General features: G+C 42.9%; 1 long non-coding RNA gene across 4 annotated transcripts in view, besides 1 other annotated feature; it reads right to left on the reverse strand.

Moving 5' to 3' along the window:
• Nucleotides 1-13,063, reverse strand: part of LOC102724687 (uncharacterized) — a 233,269-nt gene that overhangs the window by 176,322 nt on the left and 43,884 nt on the right. The gene's annotated exons all lie outside the window — the stretch shown is intronic.
• Nucleotides 10,147-10,326: an enhancer, noted in NCBI's record as "active region_27477". NCBI's record gives its function as "activates an Ori minimal core promoter by ATAC-STARR-seq in GM12878 lymphoblastoid cells {active_cell/tissue: GM12878}" and the evidence as "EXISTENCE:reporter gene assay evidence [ECO:0000049][PMID:35858748]".

Consider the following 13,063-nt stretch of genomic DNA (forward strand, 5'->3'; position numbering starts at 1 on the left):
ATAGATAACAGTTAATAATTTTTTAAAGGTAGCTGACATTTATAGAGTGCTTACTATGTTTCAGGCACTGTTCTATGCATCCCATATTCATTCATTCAACAAATATTTAGAACCTGCTATGTGCCAGGCATGGTGCTAGGTGATAAAGAGCGGTGAGAGAAACAAAATTCCATCGGAAAAGGGAAATCAATTACAAAGAGAAACAAGGAAACTGTAAAATGAGCAAGATTCTGAAAGGGAACAAAAGGAAAAATAGAGCAGGCAAGGGGGACATGACACTCTCATGAACCCTTATAGGGGCTGTATGCAGTAGAGACTACTATTACCTTCATTTCAGCAATTTAGAAAAAAACAATTGAAGGAAAGAGAGATTAAGTAACTTGTCCAAGTTTTATGGAACTAAAGTAGATGAGTAATGGATGCACCAAGGGGACCTCTGGAGGCTTTAGAGCCCCCATTCAATGTCCATCCCATTCAATGTCCATCACCACCTCACCCCCAGACTTTGAAATGAGTAATTGATGTTTTTTCAGTCTTGTGTAAACAGCCCTGGGGCACAGCCTCAAAGCTCCAACACCTACCATGCCAACACAACATCACCATACAATCATTCCAGCCACCGCTTTGTGGAAATGAGCAGCCCAGAAACCGCTCTGTGGAAGTGATCACCCAGACACTGCCCTGTGGAAGTGAGCGCCCCAAACACTGCTCTGTGGAAGTGATCAACCAGACACTGCTCTGTGGAAGTGAGAGTCCCACATACCACTCTGTGGAAGTCAGCACCCCAGACACCGCTTTGTGGAAATGATCACCCCAGACGCTGCTCTGTGGAAATGAGCACACCAGACACTGCTCTGTGGAATGAGAGCCCCAGACACTGCTCTGTGGAAGTGATCACCCAGACACTGCTCTGTGGAAGTGAGCGCCCCAGACATTGCTCTGTGGAAGTGAGCACCCCAGACACCGCTCTGTGGAAGTCAGCGCCCCAGACACTGCTCTGTGGAAGTGATCAACCAGACACTGCCCTGTGGAAGTGAGCACCCAGATACTGCTCTGTGGAAGTGATCACCCAGACACCGCTCTGTGGAAGTGAGCGCCCCAGACACCGCTCTGTGGAAGTGATCACCCAGACACTGCTCTGTGGAAGTGATCACCCAGACACTGCTCTGTGGAAGTGATCACCCAGACACTGCCCTGTGGAAGTGAGCGCCCCAAACACTGCTCTGTGGAAGTGATCAACCAGACACTGCTCTGTGGAAGTGAGAGTCCCACATACCGCTCTGTGGAAGTCAGCACCCCAGACACCGCTTTGTGGAAATGATCACCCCAGACGCTGCTCTGTGGAAATGAGCACACCAGACACTGCTCTGTGGAAGTGAGAGCCCCAGACACTGCTCTGTGGAAGTGATCAACCAGACACTGCTCGGTGGAAGTGAGCGCTCCAGATACTGCTCTGTGGAAGTGAGCGCCCCAGACACTGCTCTGTGGAAGTGATCAACCAGACACTGCTCTGTGGAAGTGAGCGCCCCAGACACTGCTCTGTGGAAGTGATCACCCAGACACGGCTCTGTGGAAGTGAGCGCCCCAGACATTGCTCTGTGGAAGTGATCACTCAGACACCACTCTGCGGAATTGAGTGCCCCAGACACTGCTCTGTGGAAGTGATCACCCAGACACGGCTCTGTGGAAGTGAGCGCCCCAGACATTGCTCTGTGGAAGTGATCACTCAGACACCACTCTGCGGAATTGAGTGCCCCAGACACCGCTCTGTGGAAGTGAGTGCCCCAGACACTGCTCTGTGGAAGTGATCACCCAGACACTGCTCTGTGGAAGTGAGCACCCCAGACATTGCTCTGTGGAAGTGAGCGCCCCAGTCACTGCTCTGTGGAAGTGATCAACCAGACACTGCCCTGTGGAAGTGAGCACCCAGATACTGCTCTGTGGAAGTGATCACCCAGACACCACTCTGTGGAAGTGAGTGCCCCAGACACTGCTCTGTGGAAGTGATCAATCAGACACTGCCCTGTGGAAGTGAGCGCTCCAGACACTGCTCTGTGGAAGTGATCACCCAGACACTGCTCTGTGGAAGTGAGCGCCCCAGACACCACTCTGTGGAAGTGATCAACCAGACACTGCCCTGTGGAAGTGAGCGCCCAGATACTGCTCTGTGGAAGTAAGCGCCCAGATACTGCTCTGTGGAAGTCATCACCCAGACACCGCTCTGTGGAAGTGAGTGCCCCAGACACTGCTCTGTGGAAGTGATCAACCAGACACTGCCCTGTGGAAGTGAGCGCTCCAGACACTGCTCTGTGGAAATGAGCACCCCAGACACTGCTCTGTGGAAGTGAACACCCAGACACCACTCTGTGGAAGTGAGCACCCCAGACACCGCTCTGTGGAAGTGAATAACCAGACACTGCCCTGTGGAAGTGAGCACCAAGACACTGCTCTGTGGAAGTGAGCGCCCCAGACACTGCTCTGTGGAAGTAATCACCCAGACGCCACTCTGTGGAAGTGATCAGCCAGATGCCACTTGTGAAAGTGAGCGCCCCGATGCCACTCTGTGGAAACTCAGCAGCTACCACAGTAGATGAAGAATAAAACTGGCACATGATTTGCCAGTGACAAACAAAGAATTATCACTCATCCCAAAGACGACCCTGGCAGACATATATGATTAACTCAAAGGGGACACCAAAGGCTTTACAGACAGCAAACAGAGAGAAGTGAAGCTGCTTGCCCAAGGTCATACAGGTAACAACAGCTGGGGCCAGATTCCAGCCCACATCTCTCTGGTTCCTAAAGCTGAGGGAGATGACATGCACCAAGGCTCCAGACTGTGCCAGGACACCCTCTCAGAGCCGCAGCCTGCGAAGAGGTTGGCTGAAGGGAGAGGGGGTTTGAAGTCTGAAGTACTTTTCCACTCCCTAAACAATTTATTGGTCTTCTCACCCCCATCCTGTCATTAACAGAGCTTCAAGAGCTGTTCAGTCTCCAAGCCATTTTGCTTTAGGAAGCTTTGATTTGAAAAATGAGATAAGTAGTTTCAGGGCTGTCATCAATAGGAAATTAGGGGATAAAAAGAAATCTATTTAAATGGCTTTTAAATATTCACAAGGCGAGCCATCGGGTCTCTGCCCTGTTCCTCTGCTCTGCTCCCCCTGCCCAGATAACCTGTCACATCAGTATAATGAATACAAGCTGTGCGGGTAGCAGATGTCGCAGTGGCAGGAGCACCGCCAGCAATGGCCTGAGCTCCTGCCCCCGCAGGAACTTGTTTCTTCAGGGAAGTGATTCCATAAAGGGTCTTTGACAAGGCTTCTCTCAAACAGCCACAAGACAAGATGCACTGGAAAATAACAGACACAAAGAAATGACAATCTGATTTAAAAGAAGCTTGTAAAGGAGTATAAATAGGTAAAACCTCTTTGGATGAAATTTGTGAAATGCACCAGAATTTAAATATGGATTCCCTCTGACCTCGTAATTCCACTTCTAGGACAATTACTAGAACATGTGTATGTATGCATATGCAAGGAGATGGCAGACACACTTTGACATTTGTAATCTGAAAAACCGCAAAGTAAATGTGCATCAATACAAGCATGTTTAAATGAATTATGTATATTATACAACAGTATATATTGTTTAGTGAGTAAAAGGGATAAGGTACACGTGTTTCAACAAGGAAAAAGGGCTGCAAATATTATTCTATGCAAAAAAGTTGGGTGCAAGGCCATATGATACAATCCCATTTATGTAAAATATACAGCTACATATTAATATTTGCATTCAAAAGACCAGAAAGATATCCACCAGACTGCCCACAGTTATTAATTCTGAAGAGTGGAATGGGGCTGGGGCTGGGGCTGGGGCTGGGGAAGAACTGCCTTTCACTCTTCACTTTATGCAGCTCTCCATAAGTAGAATTTTGACAAGTAGATGATATTTTAAAATTTTTAAAGGACTAGTAGGCCTCATACTTTTGAGATCAGCTATTCTTAGAGAAAAATTAAGAAAATCAGACACAGACACATTAGCAAATGAAGCTTTAAGCTTATAATTATGTGTTTCATTTCAGCCCTTTCAACTGAATAAAATTTAGTGTCATAAATAATAGAATTATGAAGAATTTACTTTGGGATTTTCAGTCCCCATTTGATCTCAAACTGTTTAACTTAATATATACTTGGTTTTCAACTTTATTAAGGCAACCTTAGTTTTATTTTACTTTCTGATCTGCAAATCCCTTCACAAGCCGCCTGCATACCTGCCTGATAGGTATTGCCACCTGGATGTTCCCACGGACTCAAAACTAACATATCTCCCCCTGTGTCTTCTAAGGACATTCCCATTCTACCCACCAGCTGAGCTTCAAACTCTCATTCTTTTTTTTTTTTTTTGTAATTTCATTTTTATTTGTTATTTTAGGTTCAGGGGATACATGTGCAGGTTTGCTACATGGATATATTACATAATGGTGAGTTCTGGGCTTCTATGAACCCATCACCAAAATAGTGAACACTGTACCCAGTAGGTAATTTTTCAACCTTCACTCCCCTTCCACTCTCCCCACTTTTGGAGTCTCCAGTGTCTATTATTTCCACCTTTACGTCCATGTGTACCAGTGTTTAGCTCCCTTACAAGTGAGAATGTGCAGAATTTGATTTTCTGTTTTGAGTGAAACTCTCATTCTTGTTGAGTCACCCTCCATCTTGCTGCCTCAGTAAACTGGTGGTGAAGTACTTCTTGTTCTTCATTCACAGTATCTTACGTCACTTTGCCATTTCCAAGGCCAGCTTCTGAATGCAGGCCTTTATTACAGTGTCTATAATAGCGTACTTGCGTGCACTCTCCACTACACCCCACCTCTACCCCTCCACCGCCATGACCCTTAATAGAACATAAGCTCCTCCAATGAAGAGTTCATGTTCTATTCATCTCAGCACCCAGTATCCTGATAGGGCAGAGTGGGTGCTACATTAATATCTTTTCAGTGAACAAATGGGTGGAAAGGAGTAGTCGATCTTTATTTCTAATAGGTTCTCCTCTTCTCATCTCTTCATCCCCCACCCATTTTCTGCAACTTTCCTCCCTAGTTGATTATTCAATAGCAGCAGCAGCATTGGTAATTTGCCACTTCTCAGATGACAGCATAATCCTTTCAAATTCAGCCATGAATGGAGTTTGGAGGGCTTTATTTTGATATATTCAGTGGTTTTCAAAGAAAACTTGAAAAATTCAAAGCCATAGAAACTGAAAAACTCCAATAGGCCCTAAACTTTCATTGAGACTCTTACAAAACAGTAGAAATGTGCATTTATGAATTATCTGAGGGTTAAAGACCAAGGTCCCTTAATTATCCATTGTTAAATATGATTTTATGAGGGGAATGCACAAGCATTAAGAACAGAATCGTGTAATTTACAAATCACTTCTAAATAGTTCTCTATGATTTCAGCTTATTAGAGGTTGTTAATATTCTATTGCTCAGAGGTCATGAGCACATTCTGCTGGCGGTATAGATCACAGAACAGAAAGTGACAAGGGGAGAATGTGAAGTATCCCAATTATTATTTCTTTTAAAAAGGGCTGTCATGACCTTCTCCTCAGAGCGTGAACTGTATCTTGCAAAGTCTGACAATGCTACAAACTTTCTCCATTAGCCTGGCTACTGTGGGCTGAAGGGGAAATTACCTAAATAGAATAATAGCTAACATTTAGCATATGCTTACTCTGTGCCTGGCATAGTTCTAAGAGCTTTATAATAATTCACAAAATCCTGACAAAACTTTATGAGATAGGCTCATTATTCCCATTTTATAGATGAGGACACTGAGACCCCACCGTGCCCAAGGTTACATAGCTTCTAAAAAGGGACCCAGATGTGGTTACATGGAAACGCACCACCCAGCCCCCACTTGGAGGAAGGACTTGTGCCATCTTTGGGGAGTGCTGGCAGCAACAGCCTCCAGCTGTCAGCTCATTCAGGGTGTCCCTCAGATGCAGAGAGACTTGCCCAAGAGCACACCATTCCCAGGACAGCCCAAACAGATGGCTGATTACAGCAGAGATATAAAGGTCTGACTTTTGGGGCTCTCTGGAGAACAGTTAAAATGGGTTTTACACAATCCAGGTCTCCCCACGGAGTGACCTGAAGCTTTGCTGAATCTTCTGCTCCTCTCTCTGTCCAAATCTGCTTCTTTCCTCTCCTTTCCACAAAGGTTGACCCTTATAATACCCTGCAGAATGAACTCCATCCAGAGACCCCAGCCCACAACATCAGAATTGGAACCAGTCATCTGACTCCACAGCCCTCACTCTGAGCTCTCTAATGTCTTCCCAGATAGAACAGACAGAAAGAAATCCACAAATCATTCTAAAGCAAGCTTGTCCATTCCACAGCCTGCGGGCCACAAGCGGCCCAGGACGGCTTTGAATGCGGCCCAGGATGGCTTTGAATGCGGCCCAACACAAATTCATAAACTTTCTTAAAACATTATGAGATTTTTGCGATTTTTTTTTTAGCTCCTCAGCTATCGTTAATGTTAGTGTATATGATGTGTGGCCCAAGAAAATTCTTCCGATGTGGCCCAGGGAAACCAAAAGACTGGACACCTCTGCTCTAAAGCCTCATCTTAGCCAATAATTTTCTGCCTCTGCTTATACCAGGCATGTGTTAGAACCGTTAGCATAAGCAACTTGTGGCATTATTTGGCCAAATTCTGGAAGGAGGAAAAAAATACCTGAAATCTTGGCTAATCTCTACACCAATATCAACCCCCAAAATATAGTTTTCTGCATTTTGAATATCCTGAAATATACCTACCCATTATTCTTAAATCCATAAATGACACACCAATCCATTTGCTTTTCTCTTCTTCTGTTCATCTTATGCTACCCACCGCTTAAAGCGTGGACTAAATGTAGGCCGGCTGACAAGTTGTAACGTTTCTGCTCACTCTAAATGGCTGATTGCACACTGAATGTCTTTACTCAAGTAACTTGAAACTTTTAACTTTTCTGTGGAAAAATGCTAGTACACAGAGGAAACAACAGTGAATTTATCTCACTCTTCTTTCTTACAATATAAACACCTCACAAATGAAAGCTATAAAGAGGAGGGGAGCCCCAGAAGTTCCCAGAGAGTTTCCCTAATATCACAAGCTCCTAGGTAAGCACCAACAGGGCCTCCCAAATTCTAATCAATCTGATACTTGGGCATTGATCTATGTACATTAACGAGACCTCAAAAATTCGTATCCTTTCATACATATGCATCTTTTGGATTCCACATTTCTAATATTTATACTAATAATGCAAATAGGGAAATAACTGCTGAAAGTGCTGGTATCTATTCTTGATGGCTCACCAGGAGTATTTCCACAAGTCACTTCTTATTTCTGTCTCCTCTCTGTCAAGGAGCCCACAGCTGGCTCTGTTCGCCATCAGGAGTTCACACCCACAGAGATTCTTTGATGAGAAACAGGGTAATGCTTCATGTCTTGACCTTGAGGGTCAAGAATCAAATATTAACACTAAAGATAATGCACCAAAATACAAAACGTGGATGACATAAATTTTTTAGAAGAATTAAAATGGTATCCAACCAGACAGAAAGAGAATGGGAGAGAAGACAATAGCAGATGAGAGATTTCAACATATTTTGGAAATATGGAAATCAGGTAGAAGATTACGTCTTAAGTGAGTGGACAATGTTCAAGCCTTCATGCCTGTAAAAAGGGAATTCAGCCCAGAAAAGAACTTTGTGCGTTGCACAGCCCCTGAGAAACACAGCACTTTAAAGCAAGAATGAGGAATGAGGCTGAAAACAGGCAGATATCTTTCAACCCTGGACGGACTGGCTGATTTTCAGCTTCCATTCTCTACTATATAGCAGGAGGACACAGGACGTGGGAGAGAGGCCTTGGGGAGGCAAGGGAGGAGAATGGAACTAACATATTGTCTGATATGCTGAAGATTTTTGGAAAAGATTATTGCTAAGCATTTGTCATATGGATTATGACATATATATTCTTGGTCACAGTTCTGGCCTTAGGCAGGTCATAGCTCAGTTAATAAACATAGCCTGCAGCCACAGCCAGTGCCCCTTCTCCCCAGCACATGACCTCAATTCCCAACCCCACCCAAGTCTCATGCAATGAGCTCTGCTTGTCACAGAGGAATCTTGATTAAATTTGTCCGTGACAGAGTTTATCAAATATATGTAATGAATTCTTTTGAAAACAAATTGTTAATGCCAAAACTAAAATAGTTTTTATCGTACATTAATTAAATATATACAAATACAAAACTAGCTTTATGTAGCTTATGTTTCTGGCTATTGTAAAAGTATAAAAACAAAATAAATTTACAAAATAAATAAAACACAATAGGTAAGAAATTGGGCACTAAAATCAGAATGTCCGAGTTCAAACTCTACTACCACCATTTATTAATTGTGCCTTTTTGAATGTTACTTAAACTCCCAGGCCTTGGTTTCCTCATCTGTGAAACAGAAATTATAATAATTCCTATCACACAGATTGCTTCAGGATTAAATAATACATGCAAAGTATTGAGTCCTCAGTTAAGGTAAGCCACAGAGTTTGTTACTTTTATTATGACCAAACCCAATAAAATGCAAATTGAATTAGTGTAATGTAATACATGACATTTTGCTGAAACCAAATAGCTAATATGAATATGGTACTGAGCTATGGCACAAGGTCTATATTTATACAGGTTGTGTATCCCTTATCCAAAATGCTTGGGACCAGAACTGTTCTGGATTTCAGAGTTTTCTGGATTTGGGGATATTTGCATTATACGAGTTGAGCATCCCAAATCCAAAAATTCAAAATCTAAAAGCTCCAATGACCATTATCCTTGAGCATTATGCCAGTGTTCCAAACGTCTCAGATTTTGGAGCATTTCAGATTTTAGACTTTCAAATTTGGGATGCTCAACCTGTACTACCATCTGTATGATGATTCAGTTTACACACTGTATTCCTACTACTGGGAAAACTGCATTTGCTCAGTACACCATGATTGCATATGACCTTTTTCTGGAGTGAAATTCGTCATTGGTGCATTGTTTTCATCTATTCTACCCTAATCAGGTTATAACAAAGTATTAGCACAAAGGGAGGCTCTGAAATTGTGCATCTGTATTTGGTAATAAAATAGCCATACAAATTAGTCAAAATTACAAATGTTTATATCATATTTCTTCAATTGTCATTAAAATGAAAACACAATCAAAAATTTAACACCAAAACTTCTAAGGATCACTGACCTATGATAGGAAGCCCAGAAGAAAACTAACTGGGCTGGGTGCCAGAATTGAGATCCTAAATTACATGCCAACTATAGTAAGATAAAGATTCATAAATATAACTGCAAACTCCTACACTTATGTCCTAAAAATAAACCATACAAGTATAGTTGGGAAGACATATCCTGATAAGAGCACGTATTTTAAGAACCCAGGGATTGTTTGATTGTCAATAGTGCGATGTACTTGCCAAAAAACTAATGAGATCTTGGATACACTGACAGAAACACAGTCTCCAAAACAAAGGGAGTTCTACTCTGCTCCATGCAGATGGAATCATACTTAGAGTCATGTATTTGGCTCCAGATAAGGCCCTTTAATAAGCTCATAGACAATTTAGAACAAATGTATTATGGTGATTAAAACCATGGAATTCAGAGTTTGAAAGATGGAAATCGGAATATCAGCTCCAGCAACTCAGCATGTTGGTTCACCACTCCAAGCCTGAGCTTTCATGTCTGCCAAGTGGAGATATTAATAATGCATATCTCCTGATATTGTTGTGAGAATTAAATAAAAAATTCCTAGTGATATTTACTGTACTCTAAAGGTAGAGTGCTAAACACAATGTCTAGCAAAGGTAGTAAGGTTTTCAAAAAATAGTCTAAGCATTTTTAAGTACAGTGGATATCTTTAAGTACAAAGAACAATGAATTTTTTTGATTTCATATAAAAAGTAATAGAACTCAGAAGAATTAGCGGTGAGAAGAGTCATCTTAAAAATCACATGGGGTTGCTCTGCTCAAATATTTGAAGGTTGTTACACAGATGAAAGAACTACTACCAGGGAGACAGTTTTTTTTTTTTTTTAAACTCACCATAGGAAGAATTGTTCAATGAGGAGCTCAAAATCTAAGTTGCTGCCACAGGAAGTGGTGAGTTTCATAGCAGTGGGGACTTCCATAACTACCCTGAGATCCTCCAATGCTCCTCCACCCCGTGAAGTCTCTCTGAGGATGTGTCCATCAATTTAACGTTCACTTCAAGGTTGGAAAATCTGAAAATCAAAATCTGTATCTCCCAGTCCCAAACCCTGTCCAGTGTTCCCTAGGCAAAATGCTCTTTTCTCTTACAAACTAAATGAGCCAAAGATGGTTCTCATTTGGGGAAAAATTGAGAGGATGTCATGAGCCCATAGCAAGGTCCTCAGCTACTTCAGCATATAGCCCAAACAAAGCCCAAATCCCTTCTGGATTAATCTGACCCCATTCTGTGTAAGTCTTTCACTTCTAACCCAGTGGCACTTACATTGTCAATTGGAAGACTATTATTTTTGCGATTGTTGGCATATCGTACTCTCGTTGATCCAGAGAGTGAAGCCAGGATCTATGGGTTAAAGTTTTATGGTAGCAGCTTTTCATTTAATAAAAGAAATAACTTTTTTTGGTGGGGGTTGGGGGGAACTGTCTCGCTATGTCGCCCAGGCTGGAGTGCAATGGTGCGATCTCAGCTCACTGTAACCTCTGCCTCCCAGGTTCAAGTGATTTTCCTGCCTCAGCCTCCTGAGTAGCTGGGATTACAGGTATGTGGCACCATGCCCCGCTAGTTTTTGTATTTTTAGTAGAGATGGTGATCTAGGTTGAAATGATACACACCTGCACCTGCTATAAACACTTTAATTTAGAAACTAAAACAAAACCTCGATTTTTTTTTTTTTTTTTTGAGACAGGCTCTCACTCTATTGCCCAGGCTGGAGTGCAGTGGCATAATCATAGCTCACTGCAACCTTGAACTCCTAGGCTCAAGTGATCCTCCCACCTCAGCCTCCCAAGTAGCTAGGACTACAGGTGTGCACCACAATGCCCAGCTAATTTTTTCTATTTTCTTGTAGCTATGCTGCCCAGGCTGGTCTCAAACTCTTGGCCTCAAGCAAAACCTTAATTTCAAATAGTGCTGTTCCTATTTTCTTCACCAGGGATTAGTGTGTTGTAATAATAAATGTTATCTGTACATCATAAGGAAACAGCTGTTTTCTAAGAACACACACACGGGCTGGGTGCAGTGGCTCATGCCTGTAATCTCAACACTTTGGGAGGCCAAGGCCAGTGGATCACCTGAGCCCAGTAATTCAAGACCAACCTGGGCAACATGGCAAAACTCCATCTCTACAAGAAAATACAAAAGAGATCAGCTGAGCATTGTGGCGCACATTGCATGTGCCTAAAGTCCCAGCTACTCAGGGGGCTGAGGTGGGAGTATGGCCTGAGCCCTAGAGGCAGAGGTTGCAGTGAACCAAGATCACACCACTGCACTCCAGCCTGGGTGACAGAGTGAGATCCTGTCTCAAAAATAATAAAATTAAATTAAGTAATACATACATAAATGACAAAGAAAAAGCTTCTTTTATAAAACTTCATGTGAAATCCTGGAGGATCAATATCATCCTCCAAAAATGTATAATAAGGCTTGACTGTGGTTCCTGCTTTCATTCTCAAATCACGAAAAGAATCACCCAGTAGGACATGAAATTTAATGCACACAATGTAGGTGGAAACAAAAACGTATGTAAAAAGGAAGCTATCACCAGATCATGCCAAAACTGGACCTGTAGTAAAACTCTGCCTTTCTGACTTCCTTGTGCAGGGAGCAATCGTGTCCCATGGAACAATCTTAATCTTGCAGTGTCACCAGGCACTTACGTGAGATGCATGGAGAGGCTGTTAACACACTTCCTTCATATTGTTAAGAGTATAGCCGGGCGCGGTGCCTCACGCCTGCGATCCCAGCACTTTGGGAGGCCGAGGTGGGCGGATCACGAGGTCAGGAGATAGAGACCATCCTGGCTAACAAGGTGAAACCCCGTCTCTACTAAAAAATACAAAAATTAGCCGGGCGTGGTGGCGGGCGCCTGTAGTCCCAGCTACTCGGGAGGCTGAGGCAGGAGAATGGCGTGAACCCGGGAGGCGGAGCTTGCAGTGAGCGGAGATCGCGCCACTGCACTCCAGACTGGGCGACAGAGCAAGACTCTGTCTCAAAAAAAAAAAAAAAAAAAGAGTATACACCACCTCCAGAGAAGGTTCATTCTCTTCCATTACAAAAAGCATGATGGTCTCAACCCCTAGCATTTCCTCTTTAATAAGAGCAATTTGTACATAAGCTGAAAAAATGTCATTAAATGCACTTCCTGTAGTCATGCAGTAATTTAGTTGCCATGGTAATCTTGGGTAAACTTGAAAAATACTTTGGATGGGCCATTTCTAATGCTTGTTTCTAAAACTCTAGAACTTTTTAAAGTCCTGGAGGATAAAGAGACTGAAAAGGCTTTTCTCTTTAATGCCTAACTGTGGACTCAGCAAATGTAGCACAGCTCTTCACAATATGACAGCCATTACGCTCCTGACAATGATCACTCCATCACTTCCCACCTCAAGACAGGCTTATACGTTATCCCTATCTTCCCGATTCAGTGAAAGCACTAACTTTGGACTCTGTGGCAGTGAAGGGAATTAATTTATGAAATAAGCACTTTCCCATAATAGCCCCCAAAGCTTTTCACAATTGAACACTGTCATTTGGGCCTACCATCAATAATAGAGTGACAAAGTACACTCTGATGCAGTTTAACAAAGGAACAGCAGACAACTCGGGACTTCAACACATTCAGGCTGCTGCCCAAGAAAGCCATTGTTGGCTGAGAGGCTCTGATGATTCACAGCTCTCACTCACTCTGTTCATCAACCATGTCAGGGCTCAAAAGGTTTCAGGAAACACTGTCAGGAAGACT

This window comes from Homo sapiens, chromosome 8 (genome assembly GCF_000001405.40).
Source record: "Homo sapiens chromosome 8, GRCh38.p14 Primary Assembly".
NCBI classification, from domain to species: domain Eukaryota; kingdom Metazoa; phylum Chordata; class Mammalia; order Primates; family Hominidae; genus Homo; species Homo sapiens.